Source organism: Homo sapiens, chromosome 8 (genome assembly GCF_000001405.40).
Source record: "Homo sapiens chromosome 8, GRCh38.p14 Primary Assembly".
Taxonomy (NCBI): Eukaryota; Metazoa; Chordata; class Mammalia; order Primates; family Hominidae; genus Homo; species Homo sapiens.
The window spans coordinates 63,318,250-63,339,597 of NC_000008.11; the positions used below are offsets into that span (position 1 = coordinate 63,318,250).

At 42.9% G+C, this 21,348-nt stretch overlaps 2 annotated features.

Annotated features, from left to right (window-relative positions):
* Nucleotides 7,630-8,295: an enhancer, noted in NCBI's record as "H3K27ac-H3K4me1 hESC enhancer chr8:64238437-64239102 (GRCh37/hg19 assembly coordinates)". NCBI's record gives its function as "activates a minimal SCP1, AML or CMV promoter by ChIP-STARR-seq in primed H9 embryonic stem cells {active_cell/tissue: H9 hESC(primed)}" and the evidence as "EXISTENCE:reporter gene assay evidence [ECO:0000049][PMID:30033119]".
* Nucleotides 8,296-8,960: an enhancer, noted in NCBI's record as "H3K27ac-H3K4me1 hESC enhancer chr8:64239103-64239767 (GRCh37/hg19 assembly coordinates)". NCBI's record gives its function as "activates a minimal SCP1, AML or CMV promoter by ChIP-STARR-seq in primed H9 embryonic stem cells {active_cell/tissue: H9 hESC(primed)}" and the evidence as "EXISTENCE:reporter gene assay evidence [ECO:0000049][PMID:30033119]".

Sequence of the window (21,348 nt, forward strand, 5' to 3'; positions counted from 1 at the left end):
AGGGAGCATGATTCTGCTTGGTCAGGATTCCTTTAAGGAACCACCCATCTCCGATTCCAAGTCCATGTGGTTTGGATGCCATGAATTCCACCCTACCACCAGGAGACACAGAACTTTTCCTGGACAGAAGCTGTGGTGGAAGCTGGGATTTTTTTTTTAAAAAAAGGGAATCTATTCTTCTTGGAGTTGCTAATCTGGTAGAATTTACACCCGGAACTGCTGGTGGTCACTGTCACTTCTGAGTGGGGAGTCTTTTTGCAAATGGGGCCACACAAAGGAAAGGTTGCACTGAGATCTGGGGAGAGATTCCTGACAACACTGTGTGAGCGCCTGGACCGGCAACACCTGAAATCATAGATTAAGAACTTAACTTTTTAATTTTCTTAGCTTACACATTTTTAGTTATATGAGTCAATAAGTTCCCTTTTATGCTTAAGCCAGTTATCATTTGCAACTGAAAGAGTACTGACCACTACAACATATTAAACTTTATGTCTTTTTTTAAAAGATGGCCCACTGTGAACGAGCTGGAAATGCCTGATCTCCCTTGGTTTAATGGAGAGGAAGGGATCCAAAGGCTTAGGGAGATTGAAATGGTGGAGTGAATTAGTCACTTTACACCTACTCATCCCAGCTGGGAGAGTACAGAAGATATACCCTCGATCAATGTTTTGCAAAATAGATTTGTGAGGGCAGCACCTGCATCTTTGAAGAGCCCTGTAATTGCTCTTCTCTGTATGTCACATCTAATCGTGGGAACCGCAACTACTCAACTACAAAATATAAATACAACAGGAATAATTGGATCGCAAGGTGACAGGGGCCAATTGGTGGCACTCAATCATCAAAGGCAAGGTGGGCGTAGCTACCGTAGTGGACAGCAGAAGCAAAGCAGCAATCAGAATAGTCTGACTCATATACAGCTATGGCATTGGCTAATTAATCACATTGTTCCTAGCAGTGAAATTGATAGGAAGCCTACTGCATCTTTCTTTCTTTCTTTCTTCCTTCCTTCCTTCCTTTCTTTCTTTCTTTCTTTCTTTCTTTCTTCCTTTTTTTTTTTGAGATGGAGTCTTGCTCTGTTGCCCAGGCTGGAGTGCAGTGGCATGATCTTGACTCACTGCAACCTCTGCCTCCCGGGATCAAGCGATTCTCCTGCCTCAGCCTCTTGAATAGCTGGGACTACAGGTGCCCACCATCACACCTGGCTAATTTTTGTATTTTTAGATAAGACAGGGTTTCACCATATTGGCCAGGCTGGTCTCGAACTCCTGATCTTGTGATCCACCTGCCTCGTCCTCCCAAAGTGCTGGGATTACAGGCGTGAGCCACTGTGCCCGGCCCATTCCTATAATTTATATAAGCAGAAAAATTCCAGGTCGAATGGACAAAAGACTAATTTGAATTATAAAAACAGAGAATCATGGCCCCTCAATCAGTTTCCAGACTTGAGCCAGTTTAAAACCCAGAACCCCTGGAATGAAGGGGAGGCCGGGTCCCCTTGAGGAATGAACCCACTATACTACTGATAATTTATGCGGTTAATTTTTCTCCCATCCTTCCCCAAGGAGACCTCCAGCCTCTTACCAGGGTAACTGTGCACTAGAGTAAGGGAAATGATCAGATATTTTAGGGACTACTGGACACTGGCTCTGAGCTGATGTTGCTGGGGCAAATAACACCTACACCCTGGGTTAGAAGTAACTTGTTTTTTGAGATAGAGAGGGATAAATGTGGCAAAATGATAGTTTTGAAACATTGATTCTAGGGGACCCAAAACGTCATTGTGGTCCTCCAGGTAAAGTAGGGGATTATGGAGGTCAGGTGATTAATGGAGTTTTAGCTCAGGTCCGACTTACAGTGGGTCCAGTGAGTCCCCGGACTCATCCTGTAGTCATTTCCCCAGGGCCAGAATGTATAATTGCCAGAGACATACTTAGCAGCTGGCAGAACCCCCACATTGGCTCCCTGACTGGTAGAGTGAGGGCTATTATGGTGGGAAAGGCCACATGGAAGCCATTAGAGCTGCTGCCTCTACCTAGGAAAATAGTAAGTCAAAAACAATATTGCATCCCTAGAGGGATTGCAGAGATTAGTGCCACCATCAAGGACTTGAAATACACAGGGATGGTGATTCCCACCACATCCCTGTTCAACTTTCCCATTTGGCCTGTGCAGAAGACAGATGGATCTTGGAGAATGACAGTAGATTATCATAAGCTTAACCAAGTGGTGACTCTAACTGCAGCTGCTGTACCAGATGTGGTTTCATTGCTTGAGCAAACTAACACATCTCCTGGCACCTGGTATGCAGCCATTGATTTGACAAATGCCTTTTTCTCCATTCCTGTCCATAAGGCCCACCAGAAGCAATTTGCCTTCAGCTGGTAAGGCCGGCAATTTACCTTTACTGTCCTTCCTCAGGCGTATATTGACTCTCCAGCTTTGTGTCTCAATCTTATTCAGAGAGACCTCAATCGCTTTTCACTTCCACAAGATATCACACTGGTCCATTACATTGATGACATTATGCTGATTGGATCCAGTGAGCAAGAAGTAGCAAACACACTGGACTTATTGGGGAGACATTTGCATGCCAGAGGATGGGAAATAAATCCAACTAAAATTCAGGGAACTTCTACCTAAATAAAATTTCTAGGGGTCCAGTGGTGTGGGGCTTGTCGAGATATTCCTTCTAAGGTGAAGGATAAGTTACTGCATTTGGCCTCTCCTATGACCAAGAAAGAGGCACAATGCCTAGTGGGCCTATTTGGATTTTGGAGGTAACACATTCCTCATTTGGGTGTGTTACTCTGACCCATTTATCAAATGACCTGAAAGGCTTCCAGTTTTGAGTGGGGTCTCGAACAGGAGAAGGCTCTGCAACTGGTCCAGGATGCTGTGCAAGCTGCTTTGCTACTTGGGCCATATGACCCAGCAGATCCAGTGGTGCTTGAGGTGTCAGTGGCAGATAGGGATGCTGTTTGGAGCCTTTGGCAGACCTCCATAGGTGAATCACAGCGGAGGCCTCTAGGATTTTGAAGCAAGGCCCTGTCATCTTCTGCAGATAACTACTCTCCTTTTGAGAGACAGCTCTCGGCCTGTTACTGGACTTTGGTGGAAACTGAACGTTTGACTATGGGTCATCAAGTCACCATGTGACCTGAACTGTCTATCATGAACTGGGTGCTTTCTGACCCATCTAGCCATAAAGTGGGTCATGCACAGCAGCATTCCATCATCAAATGGAAGTGATACATACATGATCAGTCTGGAGCAGGTCCTGAGGGCACAAGTCAGTTACATGAGGAACTGGCTCAAATGTCCATGGTCTCCATGCCTCCCACCCTGCCTTCTGTCGCCCAGCCTGCACTGATGGCCTCATGGGGAGTTTCCTATGATCAGTTGACAGAGGAAGAGAAGACTAAGGTGTGGTTCACAAATGGTTCTGCACGATATGCAGGCACCACCCGAAAGTGGACAGCTGCAGCACTACAGCCCCTTTATAAGACATCCTTGAAGGACAGCAGTGAAGGGAAATCTTCCCAGTGGGCAGAATTTTGAGCAGTGCACCTGGTTGTGCACTTTGCATGGAAGGAGAAATTGCCAGATGTGTGATTATATGCTGATTCATGGGCTGTAGTCAATGATTTGTCTGGATGGTCAGGGACTTGGAAGAAGCATGATTGGAAAATCAGTTACAAAAAAATTTGGGGAAGAGGTATGTAGATGGACCTCTCTGAGTGGTCAAAAACTGTGCAGATATTTGTATCCCATGTGAGTGCTCACCAACAGGTGACCTCAGCAGAGGAGGATTTTAATAATCAAGTGGATAAGATTGATACAGAGAGCTCCACCCCTGGGCCTGTGCCCACAGACCTAGGTGAGGACCGGCACTCCTGCCTTTGCACCTAAATGTTGCATTTCCCAAGGCCACCCTGGCCCACCATGCCCCCATCCTGTGTCTACAAAAACCCTCGAGACCCTAGCAGGCAGTCACACAAGTGGCTGCTTGTTGAGAGGAGCACATCAGCGGAGGAACACATGGGCAGCTGGATATCAAGAGGAAAACACTGGTGTAGGAGATGCTGGCATGCCAGCAGGCCATCAACTGGTGGAATGAGGTGGAGTTTGGCCAGGGGAGTTGGAGGAGAGCCCAGGCCACCAAGCAGCCCGACCCCAAGGGAAAACCATCTCCCTTCTGGCTCCCCCATCTGCTGAGAGCTACTTCCACTCAATAAAACCTTGCATTGATTCTCCAAGCCCATGTGTGATCCGATTCTTCTGGTACACCAAGGCAAGAACCCTGGGATACAGAAAGCCCTCTGTCCTTGTAATAAGGCAGAGGATCTAATTGAGCTAACACAAGCCACCCATGGACAACTAAATTAAAAGAGCACCCTGTAACACACGCCTACTGGGGCTTAAGAGGCTGTAGACATTCACTCCTAGACACTGCTGTGGGGTCGGAGCCCCACAGCCTGCCTGTCTGTATGCTCCCTAAGAGATTCGAGCAGTGGGGCACTGAAGAAGTGAGCCACACCCCCATCACATTCCCTGTGAGGGAGACAAGGGAACTTTTCCCATTTCAACTGGGGACCGCGCCTGGATCCTAGAAGGTGAGTATGAACGAATGTAAAACTGTGGGGTCTGCCTCTCTCTTCCAAAACCCTGCCATCTCTCTCTATTTCTTGTGGGTAAGAAGCTCTGTCTTCCTTCACAGAATTTTTTTTTTTTCCAGACGCAGTTTCACTCTTGTTACCCAGGCTGTAGTGCAATAGCACAATCTCGGCTCACCTCAACCTCCGCCTCTCGGGTTCAAGTGATTCTTCTGTCTCAGCCTCCCAAGCAGCTGGGATTACAGGCATGCACCACCACGCCCAGCTAATTTTGTATTTTTAGTAGAGATGGGTTTCTCCATGTTGGTCAGGCTGGTCTCGAACTCCCGATCTCAGGTGATCCGCTGGCCTCTGCCTCTGCCCTAACTGGGATGGTCAAAACCCCCCGAGTTTGTCTCTTTTCTCATGGTTTGAAGTGGCTCTTATCTCTTCCTTTATAATGTTAAGAGTTTTGCTACAGGCTGCGGCAAAGTTACTAAGTAAAACGAGCATCTGGCCCAGGCTCCAAAGGTACATATCAGACCAACTGTTCCTAGAGTTGCCATATATGCCTCCACCTCCACAGCCGCAAGCACGCACGGCTCAGGGCACCTCTCCTTATCCTTTCCCCTCCCAGCTCGTGTGCCTGGGCATGCCCACAGCAGACAAAGGCTGAGCCCAGCAGCCATGGAGGGATGGGAGACCAGGAGAAAGCCGCAGTGGTAGCCATGACCCCACAGGGCTAATGGACAAATGAATATTTCTCGCCTGCTGTGCCAATGGAACCTTTCCTCCCCTGGGTATTGATGTGGTATGTACCCATGAAGCAGGGAAAACCTGGAGAATAGGAATTAACCAGGGAGGTGGTTTTCCCTTGGGGTCGGGCTGCTTGGTGGCCTGGGCTCTCCTCCAACTCCCCTGGCCAAACTCCACCTCATTCCAAAGAATTCAACCCCGTCTGAACCGGGGGAAAGATGTAAGGATTAGAAAAGCCCAGTTACACTAAGCAAGGGTTTCTTCCCCAGAATCTGCCTGTTTTGCCACTTAAGCTGTTATTCTCTTTTTCCTTTTCAAAGTGAGAGGGCTCCCCACTTCCAACTCTGTTTCTGATAGGGAAGTTAACAGAGGAGTGACCCCTGCTGGCTGATAACTGCAAATTGGGCAGGGCACATTTGAGACACTCTAAACACATAAAAACAGCCTCTAAAATATCTTTTCAGTCCCAAACTCAATTCCAAGCTTCAGGCTCAGGCCCTAGAAAGGAAAACGAGGTCTGAAGGATCGAAAGACAGGCAACAGGCACAATGTAAATGAGCAGGACAAATTTCTGCCAACCGAATCCCACCCCACAGAAGGAGGCCATGCTTCATGGCATAAACAGGCCCAGGGCACTCAAAGTTTGCTGATACCAGGGAGAAATGAAGGCATAGGTGAGGGTGGTTAATTCCTATTCTCCAGGTTTTCCCTGCTTCATGGGTGCATACCACATCGATACCCATGGCTGGCACCTGCCAAGGTCACCAGGGCTGAGGGATAAGTGGTGGGGAGTGAAGGGAGGATGCTTGCTTTCTCTCTCCATCTCACCCGGAGTTTTCTCTGAGAGAAGGAAGGGAATGAGGGACGTCTCTATCCTCTGTCTTTCAGAATGGGCAACCAGGTCTCTTCACCACCCCCAGCTTATACTCCTCTGGAGTGTATCCTGAACCACTGGGATTGCTTTGACCCTCAGAATCTGGAGGAAAAGCACCTCATAGCCCTCTGCACAAAGGTTTGGCCAAATTATGATTTACAGGAAGGACTGGCTTGGCCTCAGGAAGGAACCATTCATTTGGATACAATTTGGCAATTGGAGCTTTTCAGTATATGTGAGGACAGATGGTCTGAGGCCCCATATGTGCAGGCTTTCTACACCTTGCAAGGCAATCCAGATCTTTGCCGACAATGTAGGATCGATCCAGCCTTCCTGTTTGCCCTCTCAGGGAAGGCTGCAAAGGGCAAACCCAGGGGATTAAAGACATGAGTCCCAGAGGCACCCCCAGCAGAGGAGCCAGCTTCCCCCCAGACCTGCTTCTCTGGGTCCACCCCATCCTTCCTATTTAGCTTCAGCCTGTCACTTACCCGCTCCTAGAAATCCTCACTCTAAACAAGCTCCAGTCTCATTCTTGCCCCTCCAACAGATGCCCAGTGAATTTGGGTCCAGTAAGTTCCAGATTCCTTTTTCCCTACAGGACTTAAAGCAAATTAAGGGGGATCTTGGAAAGTTTTCAGACAACCCTGATAGATATATAGAGGCTTTCCAGAATTTCAGTCAAATATTTGAACTCTCCTGGAGAGACATTATGTTACTTTTGAATCAGACCCTGATGGACACTGAGAAGGAGGCTGCTCTGCAAGCAGCAGAGAGATTTGGGGATGAGCTTTGCCTCACATATAGCATCAGAGAAGGGGGCAAATATTATCCAACTGGAAGAGAAGCAGTACCAGTGAATGACCCTAAATGGGATCCCAATGACGAGGTGGAAGACTGGAAAAAGAGACACTTTCAGGTGTGCATAATGGAGGGCTTATGTACAACTAGGACCAAGCCTCTCAATTATACTAAGTTGCCCAGGATTGACCAGGGATTTGATGAAAATCCGACTGCATTCCCGGAAAGGCTAACAGAGGCCTTGGTAAAGCACACCTTTCTATCTCCTGATTCAGTTGAGGGACAGCTAATCCTAAAGGATAAATTTATTACTCAGGCAGCTCCTGATATCAGGAGGAAGTTGCAGAAATGGACCCTGGGACCAGATAGTACTTTAGAGGACCTCCTGAAAGTAGCCACCTCAGTCTTCTACAATAGAGAAAGGAAACAAAGGAAAGAGACAAAAGCTTTAATGGCTGCCAGGCAAGCCCACAAACCCTAGAATTCCCAGGGTGCACCTGTTAACTGCTAAAGATACGGCAAGAACAGTTATCTCTCTTCTAAAAGTTTAACCGCTCTAAAGTTTAATTTCTTTCACCAGGGTGAAACAGCTTGGGGTACAATGTTGTTGTTAGTATATTTTACTTCTTGTTTCTGTAATCTTTGGCATGAAATTCTTTCCTTGTATAATACACATGTTTAACCTGTGCATACTTACCATTATAAAACTTGTTATTTTCCTCTCACTTACAAGCCATCAAACTCCAAACAGTCAGGCAACCAGAGCCTCGGATGGTGGTTTCCCTTTGCTAAGAACCCTTAGATAGAACTCTGGGAGGAATCTGACTGCTGTTTTCTGCAAAACAATGCCCCCTGTAAGCAGGAAGCACTAAGCTCTGTTATTGTCTATATTCTAAAGGCAGTTAGATGTGCCTCTTCAGAAGGGGGATGTGATATGGAAGGGGAGGAGAAGGGCAGGTCCCCAGTGAGAGTTCCATCCCCAGGCCTGTGCCCACATACCTAGGTGGGGACAGGTACTCATGCCTTTGTGCCCAAATGTTGCATTTTCCAAGACCACCTTGGCCCAGCACGCCCCCATCTTGTGCCTATAAAAACCCCTGAGACCCTAGCAGGCAGGTACACAGGTGGCTGGATGTCAAGAGGGGCACATCAGTGGAGGAGCACACGGCAGCTGGAGGTCAAGAGAAATGCACTGGTGTAGGAGATGCTGCCATGCTGGCAGGCCATCGACCAGTGGAACGAGGCAGAATTTGGCCGGGGTAGTCAGAGGAGAGCCTGTGCCACTGAGCAGCCCTGCTCCAGGCCCACTGGGGCTTCAGGAGCTGTAAACATTCACCCCTAGACACTGCCTTGGGGTTGGAGCCCCACAGCCTGCCTGTCTGTATGCTGCCTGAGAGTTTTGAGTAGCAGAGCACTGAAGAAGCGAGCCACACCCCCATTGCACAAACTGTGAGGGGGACACAGGAACTTTTATTGTTCCAGGATGACCCATTCTGTGGACAACACTCAGCTTCTTTCCCCAGCCACCCCTGTCATCATCCAATGGGCCCATGAACAAAGTGGCAATGGTGGCAGGGATGGAGTTACACATGGGCTTAGCAACATGGACTTCTGCTCACTAAGGCTGACCTGGCTACAGCCACTGCTGAGTGCCCAATTTGCCAGTGGCAGAGACGAACACTGAGCCCTCGATATGGCACAATTCCTTGGGGTGATCAGCAAGCTACCTAGTGGCAGGTTGATTATATTGGATCTCTTCCATCATGGAAAGAGTGGAGGTTTGTCCTCACTGGCATAGACAGTTACTCTGGATATGGGTTTACCTATCCTGCACACAATGCTTCTGCCAAGACTACCATCCATGGACTCACAGAATGTCTTATCCACCATCATGATATTCCACACAGCATTGCCTCTGACCAAGCCACTTACTTTATGGCTAAAGAAGTGCAGCAGTGGGCTCATGTTGATGGAATTCACTGGTCTTACCATGTTCCCCATCATCCTGAAGCAGCTGGATTTTAAGAACGATGGAATGGCCTTTTGAAGTCACAATTACAATGCCAACTAGGTGACAATACTTTGCAGGACTGGGGCAAAGTTCTCCAGAAGGCTGTGTATGCCCTGAATCGGCATCCAATATATGTTTCTCCTATAGCCAGGATTCATGGGTACAGGAATCAAGGGGTGAAAGTGGAAGTGGCACCACTCACCATCACCCCTAGTGATTCACTAGCAAAAGTTTTGCTTCCTGTTCCTGTGACATTATGTTCTGCTGGCCTAAGGGTCTTAATTCCAGAGGGAGGAACACCGCCACCAGGAGACACAACAATGATTCCATTAAACTGGAAGTTTAAAGATTGTCATCTGGACACTTTGGGCTCCTACCTTTCAGTCAACAGGCTAAGAAGAGAGTTACAGTGTTGGCTGGGGTGATTGACCCCACTATCAAGATGAAATTAGTCTACTACTCCACAATGGAGGTAAGGAAGAGTCTGCATGGAATACAGGAGATCCATTAGGGTGTCTCTTACTATTACCATGCCTTGTGATTAAAGTCAGTGGGAGACTACAACGGCCCAATCCAGGCAGAACTGCAAATGGCCAAGACTGTTGGGGAATGAAGGTTTGTGTCACTCCACCAGGAAAAAACCCATGACCTGCTGATGTGCTTCCTGAAGGCAAAGGGAATACATAATGGGTAGTAGAGGAAGGTAGTCCTTAATACCAGTACGACCACGTGACCAGTTGCAGAAACGAGGACTGTAATTTCCATGAGTATTTCTTCCTTCTTTTGTTAAAAACATGTTTGTGTGTGTATACACTTATACTAAGAAAATATCTTCATTTTATTTCCATTTTCCTTTATCATGTGACATAAGACTTATTGACTTCATATCAGCATTTAAATATTGTTAACTTTATGTAATAACATTTGGGTTGGGGATTGGAGCATTTCTGGTTGTACAAAAGATAGTTGTATTATGTTACGTGTAATTATGACCTTATTATTGTCTTAATATTATGTTTGATCTCAGGAGATGTGTATAAGTTCAAGTTGACAAGGGATGGACTTGTGACAGTTAATACTGAGTGTCAACTTGATTGGACTGAAGGATGTAAAGTACTGCTGCTGGATGTGTCTGTGAGGGTGTTGCCAAAAGAGATTAAGATTTGAGTCAGTGGGCTGGAAAAGGCAGACCCACCCTTAATCTGGGTGGCACCATCTGATCAGCTGCCAGCATTGCCAGAATATAAAGCAGACAGAAAAACAAGAAAAGACTAGGCTGGCTTAGCCTCCCAGCCTACATCTTTCTCTTGTGCTGGATACTTCCTGCCCTTGAACATCGGAGTCCAAGTTCTTCAGCTTTGGGACTTGAACTGGTTTCCTTGCTCCTCAGCCTACAGATGGCCTATTTTGGGACCTTGTGATCATGTGAGTTAATAGTCCTTAATAAACTCCCCTTTATCTATCTATCTATCCTATAAGTTTTGTCCCTCTAGAGAACCCTGACTAATACAAGCCCCACAAAGGAAAGGCAGCACTGATATCTGGGGAGAGATTCCTGACAACACTGTGAACATTTGGATCGGCAATACCTGAAATCATAGATTAAGAACTTAATTTTTAATTTTTTTAGCTTACACATTTTTAGTTACATGAGTCAGTAAATTCCCTTTTCTGCTTAAGCCAGTTTGAGTTGGGCTTTCTCTCATTTGCAACTGAAAGAGTACTGACCACTACAACATAGGAAATTTTACCTCTTTTTTTTGAGAGTCTTCAAGATCCTAGATCCAGGAATGACTTTTTTCCCTTCTGAGTAAATGGTTTATTTTATGGATACTGTATATCATATAAACAATTCTGCTTTGGGCAGAAAATTGAGGATCAAATTTTGGATTCACTTCTAATCAGTGAAGGGCTTTACCTTGTCGTCGTTGTTGTTGTTTTTAAAATACACCAACATTACTCATGGCTCTATCTTATTTTTCCTACTTTTATTATTCTTTTGCCCTGGTTCCATCACCTTTTAAATTTTATCTTGCTTTATTTTATCTCTGTAAGCTTGTCTAATTAATTTTTTTTTTAGCAAAGGCAGTATATAAATAAATAGGCTAAACGATGAGAACATTCTGTATGATTCTGTTTACGTTTCTGTTGTCAACCAAGAACATCTGTTTCTTTTGAGAAGACATGTCTTTAGTGTATTACAAACATCACTGCCTGCCTGTAGGAGATAATGTGTATAATCTTGCATTTCTTAATAGGCTTGTGGCTTTACTTAATTATCTTTGCCAAAAAATATTATTGTTTTGAGGGGAGAGCACAGGGTCTTATTTAGGTGGTTATATAATTTCCCCTCACAGTAAAAATGTAAACAGGACATGAATGCATAGATTTACTATAAGTGGGCCACCACGTAGGGCTGTCAGCCTAAATTACTGGGTTCAGCATTTATCCTGTAACATCTTAACATTTTGTATACGTGGTTCCATAACTGTGAGATTCTGTGGTCAGATGATGTCTTCTCCTTTCCCACGCTTTCTTCATACAAATTCTCTTGCATATCCTTTTGTTCCTTGGTTTCTATAAAGGTCCATCTCTTTCTTCTTAAAGAGATATTTCTTAAACACTTGGACAGGCATGCTATGGCCAGTTCATGTGCCTACTATGGTTCAGTAATTGCTTATGATTTCAGAACCACCTACCACAAGGCCCCTAGATTCTGTCTCCCACTTCCACTGTTCCCAGTACCAATTCTCATTCTCAGCCACACTTATCTCCTCTTTTTGTTCAGAGCACAATTGTGCTCATGCTTTCCTCCCACCATAAGTGTCATCTTCAAAAAGTCCTTCCCCTTTCTCTATTCATCCACATTCTACTATTTTTCAAGATTGAACTCCACAAAGTTCTTCCCAGGCATTACGCTCTGCACAGGTCTTTCTTGTCATCAAACCTTCCTGGAGTGCATGCTCAGAGGCTGGCATCACATTATGTGTGACACATTGCATGCATTTTCCTCTAAATAGCAATTAAATATGTGCATTTGTTTTATGTAAATATTTTGTTTCTCAAGAATAAATCTGGGCCAGGCACAGTGGCTCACGCCTGTAATCTCAGCACTTTGAGAGGCCAAGGTAGGAGGATCACCTGAGGTCAGGAATTTGAGACCAGCCTGGCCAAAATGTGAAACCCTGTCCTACTAAAAATACAAAAATTAGCTGGGCGTGATGGCACATGCCTGTAATCTCAGCTACTTGGAGGCTGAGGCAGGAGAATTGCTTGAACCTGGGCAGTGGAGGTTGCAGTGAGCTGAGATCACGTCACTGCACTTCACTGGGCGATAGAGAGAGATACTGTCTCCAAAAAAAAAAAAAAAAAAGAAAGAAAGAAAAGAAAACATCTAAAGCTTCTTGAGATGAATATTAGGTCTTTATTTATTTCTTATCCCTCAAGTATTTAACACAGTGCTAAATGCACAGTACATATTTAATGAAAATAAACTAAATGTACTGTGAATTAGGAGACCTGAAATTTAGTGGCAAGTTGTTTTTGGTTAGCTATCTGACTCTGGGCTACTCATCATTTTACCTTTTGAGTCTTCTAATTTCTCATGTAAAATAGGAAAAAATAAATGTCATGGACTTTGCTAAAAGAAAAAATTAATCACCTGGGGCAGCTAAGGGAATGCACATAAACAAATAAGGGCACACTTTTCTTCTTTGTCTTACTAATGATTGAGAGGGAGCCTGGGTTCGGTACAGAAGGAAATCCCCAAGACCGGTGTTCTACTCCTAAGCATGCACCCATGTGCAAACTTGCAGGGTCCCTGACAGTGAAGTGTGGCTGGGAAACTGAGTTCTGGCCAGTGGAATGTGAGGAGGTCATGTGTTCCCGTCTAGTTCTAGCTCACAAAAATTATCTCATGCTTACTTTTCTCTTTTCTTTTCTTTTTTTTTGTTTTGAGACAGAGTCTCGCTCTGTCGCCCAGGCTGGAGTTCGATGGCACGATCTCGGCTCGCTGCAACCTCCGCCTCTCGGGTTCAAGTGATTCTCCTGCCTCAGCCTCCCAAGTAGCTGGAATTACAGGCACTTGCCACCACGCCTGGCTAATTTTTAAGTAGAGATGGGGTTTCCCCATGTTGGCCAGGCTGGTCTTGAACTTCTGACCTCAGGTGATCCACCCACCTCAGCCTCCCAAAGTGCTGGGATTACAGGCGTGAGTCACTGTGCCCAGCCCTCTCATGCTTTCTTTGCTCTCTTTTCCTATCAGCTGGTGGAATATAGAGAGCTGGGAGGACCTGGTGTGGGTGTTCTCTTCATCTCCTGGGTACACGGCTGGATGATATTTCCTGGATTTTAGTGTAGTTAGGTGTGGCCAAGCTTTGGCCAGTGGAATTTGAACAGAAGTCACGTGTCCAAATCCCATGCCTGGTCTATAAAATCTTCCCATCCGTAATCTTCCTGCTTTCTTTACTCACTGAATAGATAAAAATTCCAGGGACCTGGAAGAGTGTAGGGCCACAAGCTGGAAGTAGCCTAGATCCCGAGGAACATCATGGAAAACAGTGCCCTCACCCCTTCCCGTGAGGTAAGTCAGGAGCTGGGATTTCAGGGTTTATTTATTTTTTTAATAACAGCCAACTTTATTTCCCCTAAGCAATTCGTGTTTTATAGGCTAACTAGAAAGACATGTGTGTTAGATGAGTATTACTCCAGCTAGCAAAGACTTCTTCTACCCACATGACTGCTTCTTTGAATTTTTGCCCAATAATTACAAGGCTTTGATCACCCAAAGTACGAACACCCTAGGCTGCAAGCTCTCTGAAGACACGGGATCATGTTTGTCTTGCTCCCACTATATCCTTAGCACTCATTTAGAGCATGGCACACAGTAGGTGTTCAGTAAATACTTTTAGGATGACAGAGTCTCCTGAAGTGATCGTGATGTGGGTGTGAATTTTCCTAGTCCTCTTTGTATCTGTGTCAAGTCATACATACCCAAGAACTGCAAATTTAGGTAAGTACTTTATTATGACAAACTGGGAACTCTCTCTTTGTTGACTCAAGTAAGAGACATTAATATAAATGGAAAATTATTTTTAAATGTTCAATAATTTTACAATATTAGGGGGTAAGAGCACTCATAGAACTGAAGTAAGAATCTGTGCTATTACCTGGTCTCCTTGGTAGAAAGTCATATGTAAAGGTGAGCGATTACATTCACACGCAAAAATACATAAACCACCAAAGCCTTTACTTCTTTTGCTGTTGGGAAGCCCTGGCCTCTGGGGTGGACAGTCATATGCAAATAGGCATCTATTACTCAGCAGGGAAGGGAGGCCTTGACCCACTCTCACACTAATTTAATTTTATAAAATCTTCACCTGGGTCTTGGTCAGTGTATAGGATATTGGTTTTTATGTAAATACTTCATCCTCGTTTTGTCCATCAGAGATTGAACTTGCCATGCAGTTAGCTGAGAAGCGTCATACCTGGTTCTTGGTTCGGTAAGCTATGCTACCAGTGGTTTCCATGGAAATGACAGTGGAAACGGCCCCATGTGCCTGAGTTGTTAGAGCTGCCAGCTGGACTCTGAGGAGAGGTGCTTTTCCCCTTGACATCCAGAGCCCATCGCCAGCACGGATGGGATGGCAGGCTGTCATGACCCCTGAGTAGGCCCTAAAGCTCCAGCCCTTCAAATGGCTGAGGACATCTGATATTTTTGGTTATAACTTGAAAAACTTTTTCAGAAACAAATTACTTATTGGATATTTTTGTTTTCAATGTCAAATATTAACATTTCCCTTCAATTTAGACTCATAGATCTAATGTAGTGGTTAATAAGTGACTTTTATAAATATGAACTTGTCCAGATTGTTAAAAATTCTCCGATCTTTTCGTTAGGGGAAAAACCCCTGAATATTGTTTATTTTATGAATATTCAATAAGAAATATGTTCTCAAATATTTCATGGTAAATTGGGAATATGTGTTAGTATCTTTGGTAAACTTTGTAACCATTTTTAGACCCTGCTGGTAACTTACCAGGGGAATTGGTTAAACTGTCCAATTTCTTGTTGCCTTTGTTTCCTAATTTATTAAATAAAGTTTCAGTGAAGTGGGAGTAGTGAAGACTGAAGTCTACTCTGACAGAAATGGTCATAAAGTTCCTGATAGAGGGTGGATGTTTACTAAAGTGTACCAACAAGTAGATGTAACTAAATCTTGACCATTTGTGAATGATCACACATTGGGCTGTTCTGAGAAAATTAATATTCTGCTTTATTTGTTGTTTAAAGATAATCCATATATAGCCCATCAATTTTCAAACAATGTAATACAATATGATATATTCTAAAGTTATACTGCACACAATTTAGTCTTTGATGATTCACTAATTGTGTAATATGGATAGTATACAATGAAAAGCAGTTTACAGAGCACAGTGTCAAACATTAAAAATGGGAAACAATGGATAAACATCCCTTCTTCCCCTTTAAAATTACTTTAATTTAATTTTAAAAATTCATATTTGACAACCTTACCTTTATCACAAAAATAGAGCTCAGGAAAATCATCCTGGTTATGTGATGTTTCTTCTGGCTTAGGCTATGAATAGAAGGGAGGCTAATAAACTATAAAAACAAATATGATAATATTAATAGGTACATTTCAGTGAGAAAAAGACTCAAGATTCACCAGTGTACTTGGAAGGAAAAAAACCTGTTTTGATCTAATGGCTAAAATACATGTATGTGAATTACAACGGGAAAGCATCTCCTCTGCACTTGAAAATATGTATGTTACCTGAAGCTGGGCAAGTCATCAGGGGCGGAATGTGATCGTCGTTAAAAACAGGAAACATGGTATTTTGAGTAGACTTCAGGTTTACTATAGAATATAGAAATTCCCACCAGAAACACAGTCATGTTCATTGATATTTCCCATGCCATTTGATTATCTTATCCTTCATATGATGCCAGTTTGCTTTTTGAAATTTTCATGTTAGCAATTATTTTTTATATTCAAGTCACAGTACTCAGGATATTACAGCTTTTGATACTTGAATTTAATATCCTTATAGGACAACTGCTGAATCCATTAGTTAGCCATCTGGTTTAGGGTAGCTTGCCTGCTATTTCTTTAGGCTTTCAAATTCTTGAAATGTTTTGTACTTATGATCATTTGCATTTTAAATGCATGCATGTGTGTTCATGTATATACTGACATCTTGCTTTAACAGTTCACTCTGAATGAAATGAAAGGGTGACTTCCAAGAAGATTTAGTAATTGAAATGCCAAAGTGATCTCATTACATGGTTTTGTTCCCAAGTGTATTAGTTTCTTATGGCTGCTGTAACAAATTGCCACAAACTACGTGGCTTAAAACGAGACACATTTATTCGCTTACAGTTCTGGAGATCAGAAGTCTGAAATCTGAACTGAAATTGAGGTATTGTTTGGGCCATCCTCCATCTGGGGCCTGCAGGGGGGGATGCTTTTTCTTGTCTTTTCTAGCTGCATTCTTTGCATCACTTGGCCTGTGGCTCCTTCCTCTCCAAAGCCAGCAGCTTCATATCTTGATTTAGTTTTCATGTTGCCGTCTGTCTGGTTCCGGACCAGGGTCATCAGCTTCTAATTCTGATGCATGATCTCTCCAAGATCACTGGATACAGGATCCCTCTGCCTCCCTCTTATAAAATACTCTTATGGTTACATTTAGAACCCACTCAAATAATCCCGGATAATCTCAATATTCTTAATTTAATCACATCCACAAAGTCCCTTTTGCCATATAAGGTAAGATTCACAGATCTCAAAAATTAGGATCTGGATATCTTTGGGGACTATTATTCAGTTGTTCAGGAAAGGGTTAACTCAGGAGGCCCATGTTGCTTAAATCCTGCACATTCTCAATGTCTTTAGGACTGGCCCTTGGCCTAGTCTCTAGGAGAAGACCTCTGAGTCTGTAGAGTATCCTACCTGGTAAGTTTCTTTGTAAGGTCTTCAGCCACACCAGATAGTTCATGTCAACAATATAATTTATGGCGAATGCCTATTTTTGTGTGCTTGAGGCCATGGGTCACGTTCTGTTTGACCTCTTGGGAGTGGGGGCCTGGAGACTGAGTAGCTAAGGTCAGTCATATGAATGTTACATGCCTATGTGACTGACCCCTTAATAAAATCTTTGGACACTAAGGCTGGGTGAGCTTACCTGGTTCACAACACTTAGCAATTAGCATGTGTTGTCACACCTTGTTAGTGAGAGAATTATGCACTGTCCATGTAACTCCACTGGGAAAGGATAACTGAAGCTTGTGTCAGGCTTCTCCTGGACTCTGTCCAGTATGCCTTTTCTCCTTGCAAATTTCAATATGTATCTTCTCACTGGAATAAATTGGAACTGTGTTTATAATAGCTTTTCTGAGTCCTGTGAGTCCTTCTATTCAATCATCTAGCCTGAGGGTTGTCTTCAGGATTCCCAATACATCAACTTACCATAACTAGTTAGTGCAATAACCTAGAATTGAGGTTGATATTAGGATAAGAGGTGTCTGTGTGTATACAATATGTTGTGCAAATACAGTATATACATAAAACAGAAAAGACCATCTTTGGTAAAATATTAATCTTAATTAAAAATGGAAACATTGTTAGTATATATTAACAAATTACTGAGAGCTATGGAAATTAGATACTGTATCACTATTGCATTGAAAACCATGGAAACAGGGTAAATATTTTAGTTTTGTGTACAAATGTATAAGCCCAAACCTTGGAAATATACACAGAAATACTATGCATGCTTCAAAAGCTTAAAAATAAAATATACTCCTACATGCCTTTGAGAAATAATGGAAAATAAATGCATTTAATTTATTGTGCTTTCATTGCCAATTCACCTAAATCTAGAGCAAAAGTAAGCAACAGAAGGGCATGAATTAGACTATTTTCTTTGTGAGAACAACCATCATCTAATGAGCTGAAAAAAATTACGTCGGAAAATTATTTTCTTTCATTTGGAAGAAGATAGTGTTTAGAAAATTGATTGAGCTAATAAGTTAGACCCTGATGGGATCTGAATTCTTGTGGAATGTTCTCGAATGCCAAAAAAAAAAAAAAAAAAGAAGAGTTACTGTTATTCTGCAGGGAAAATGAATCAAGCAAGATGGGCTTGTATCAAGCATTTTTCATTTTAATACTTCCTACTTCTGAAACTTCAGTGAAATTACTTTGGTAGTTTTTTTCTTATTTCACTTTTATGTGCATGTGCTTAGTGAAAATTGTTGAGTGGCTGAACCTTATATACCTAATTAAATTGGGGCAGAGCTAGGCAACCAAAGTATGTGTGAGAACGAGGAAGCAGAATGAGGCCTTAGAAAATAATTCCCCAATCATAGAATGGACTCCAAACTATCACAAAACTACAGAAACATGACTTGTTGAGTTTTCTGGATATTTTTTGTTTTGTTTTATTTTATTTTATTTATTTTATTTTTTTTGAGACGGAATCTCACTCTGTCACCCAGGCTGGAGTGTAGTGGTGTGATCTCGGCTCACTGCAAACTTCACCTCCAGAGTTCAAGCTATTCTCCTGCCTCAGCCTCCCAAGTAGCTGGGATTACAGGTGCCCACCACCACGCCTGGCTAATTTTTGTATTTGTAGTAGAGACGGGGTTTCACTATGTTGGCTAGGCTGGTCTCGAACTCCTGACCTCAAGTGATCCACCCGCCTCAGCCTCTCAAAGTGCTGGGATTACAGGCATGAGCCACCATGCCTGGCCAAGTTGTCTAGATTTTTTTTTAAGGAGGCTTTGGATGTTATATGGGCTTGCATGGAATTGTTGAACTAGATTAATCAGATAAACCCTAAATTGGTCCAGAAATGCACCCTCACTCTGAATGTCAAATCACTGGATTCAGGGTGCAAGAGAATTGGATCTGCTGTGCCAGGGTCATGGTGCTCCTGGAAGTCCGACTGCAGCTTTTGGGGGAAACTGTGAGGCTTGGAATGAGTTCTGTTCTATAGACTTTATAGGCTGTTCTGCTAGAACCATACATACTCAATGTTTTGCAATGTTATTTGTTGAAGCCCAAGAAAAAATTTTCCTAGGAAAATTTTCTTATGAAGAAACCAATGCAGAAGGATACCAAAAGCTCTGCTTGACTTATTTCAAATGACACTCAATTTCATTTGAAAAATAAAACAGTCTTAGGAGGGCTATGACAGACAAGCTTTGGCTGATTCCAGACCAGGGTCATGGGTTAGTAATTCTGATACTTTTATGTTGTACAAATCCAGAGGGTGGCTATGAAATTCTGTCAGTCACCTAAGAAACTTACTTAACTTTTCTGTGCCTTGGTTTCCTCACTTCAGAAATGCAGATGGCACCAATAAATTGAAACTTTGAAATTCTGGGATGATGCCCCTTCTTTGTCACCTAACCATCCCTTGGTACACAGAGCCTCTGCTAATGGACCAGTCCATTTTAATGTGGAATTCAGGAGAAGGGTGAGAAGTTAGTTGTGCTTCCTGCTCAGATGATTAATTCCTAATAGAGGAATTATGAGGTTTAAATGATACAATACTTGTAAAGTATAATTAGCTGTTCCTGGTATATAACAAGCTTTTATTATTAAATGCTTCAGGTGGTGAAACAGAATTTTCTGAAGACCAGACTCTTGTACATAATGGGAATTTTCTTCTAGAAGTTGGAGGTGTTTTAAGGACTTTATGTGCCTCAGAGAGGAGAAGGTAATTCTGAGTAGTTGTTAAAACATGCTATTGACATATATAGCATGATAGAGCATGGGAGGCCTTGGGGATGGAGAAGTATCAGTAATTAAAGAAAGTCTGTTGGGTCTGATATTAGGGATTATATGTGGCTTTGTTTCTGCCAGGGTCTGTTTCTATGGCAGAATACCTGACAATATTCAAACCAATATTTGGGAAGCTAGAAGTTTCAGGGACACTTTTTGGTCAATGCCTGACCACATCCTAGGGGGAAAAACATCATATGCACATACAATTGAGTGATTCTTGCAGCAAACTGTACCAGAGGATACTATGGAATGCCATTTGGAAAAATCAGGCTCTCCTAGAATATGCTGCTGGGGGTGTGAGAAGCTTACAGCAACATTCACTGGAGAAATTCAGGCTTATAGCAGTCCTCAAATCCTTGCTATTAGTGAAACTAATTCCAGAAAAGCAAAAAAAGAGTCAATGAGGCTCTCAGGGATAAAATATAACAGTAGGATTGTGACTAGAGATGGAGCAGAGGTGAGTCTCAGGGTGAGGTCTGAGCAGTGCTCCTCAGATCTTTTTGGATCTCCACATCCCATATGGGGCCCTGGATGGGACCAAATCCTTCAATTGCTGCCAGTGAGGGAAGCCTGGTCGCAAAAAAGAAGAGCTAGAATCACTTGCAAGCCCGTCACTGGTAGCCAGCAGGCCTCAGTAAATATAGAATAGGTTGAGGAGGAAAAAAATGGTGAAGGGAATGGCTTCCTCTCAAGGCAGTATTTGGTGAACCAGTGTACTATTGTTACTCAGACCGCATGATTATTTTGAGAGACTTTGGTGGAGACATTGAAAGTTTGAAATTTTGGGATGATGCTCCTTCGCTCTCCCCTAAACATCTCTTGGTACACACAGCCTCTGCTTATGGACCAGTAGATATTAATGTGGGATTCAGAAGAAGGGTGAGGGCTTGGTTGTGCTTCCTGACCAGATTGATGGAGACAGAAGCATAAGGAAGAATCCTGCAGGAATCATGGGAAGGACTCTCTATTCTATGTGTGTAGAAATTAAGATTTAGGTCTAGGATAACAAGATTCTCAAGGAATAGAAAACCCATAGCCAATACTTGGAATCCAACAATAATGGTAAACACAATAGCCTCTTACTTTAAAAAGATCATATTCAATTATTTGAAATTAACTTTCTTATGTTGTTTGATGTAATCCTCAAAACGAATGAGAAAATATTATTACTTCCATTTTTATTAATGCTAACCATGAGGTTCTAGACGATAGAATCTGATTTCACACTAAAGTGGGACTAATTTGATTTCTTTGTCTTTCCTTGTATGACAAACTATTCAAAAAGCATGATTTAAAACCAATGCTGATATACACTGAGAAGTTCACAGAATTTTCCATGGAATACAGGAGTTATGTTTTCCGAGGGAGCATTGTACTTATTGGGACCTTACTGTTGGCATTTAGTCATGGATTTTCCGCATGGCTTTTCTTGCATTACTGTCCTGAGATTTAGATCTGTAAGTCTTTCTCTTTAATAAAACAATACTCTTCCTA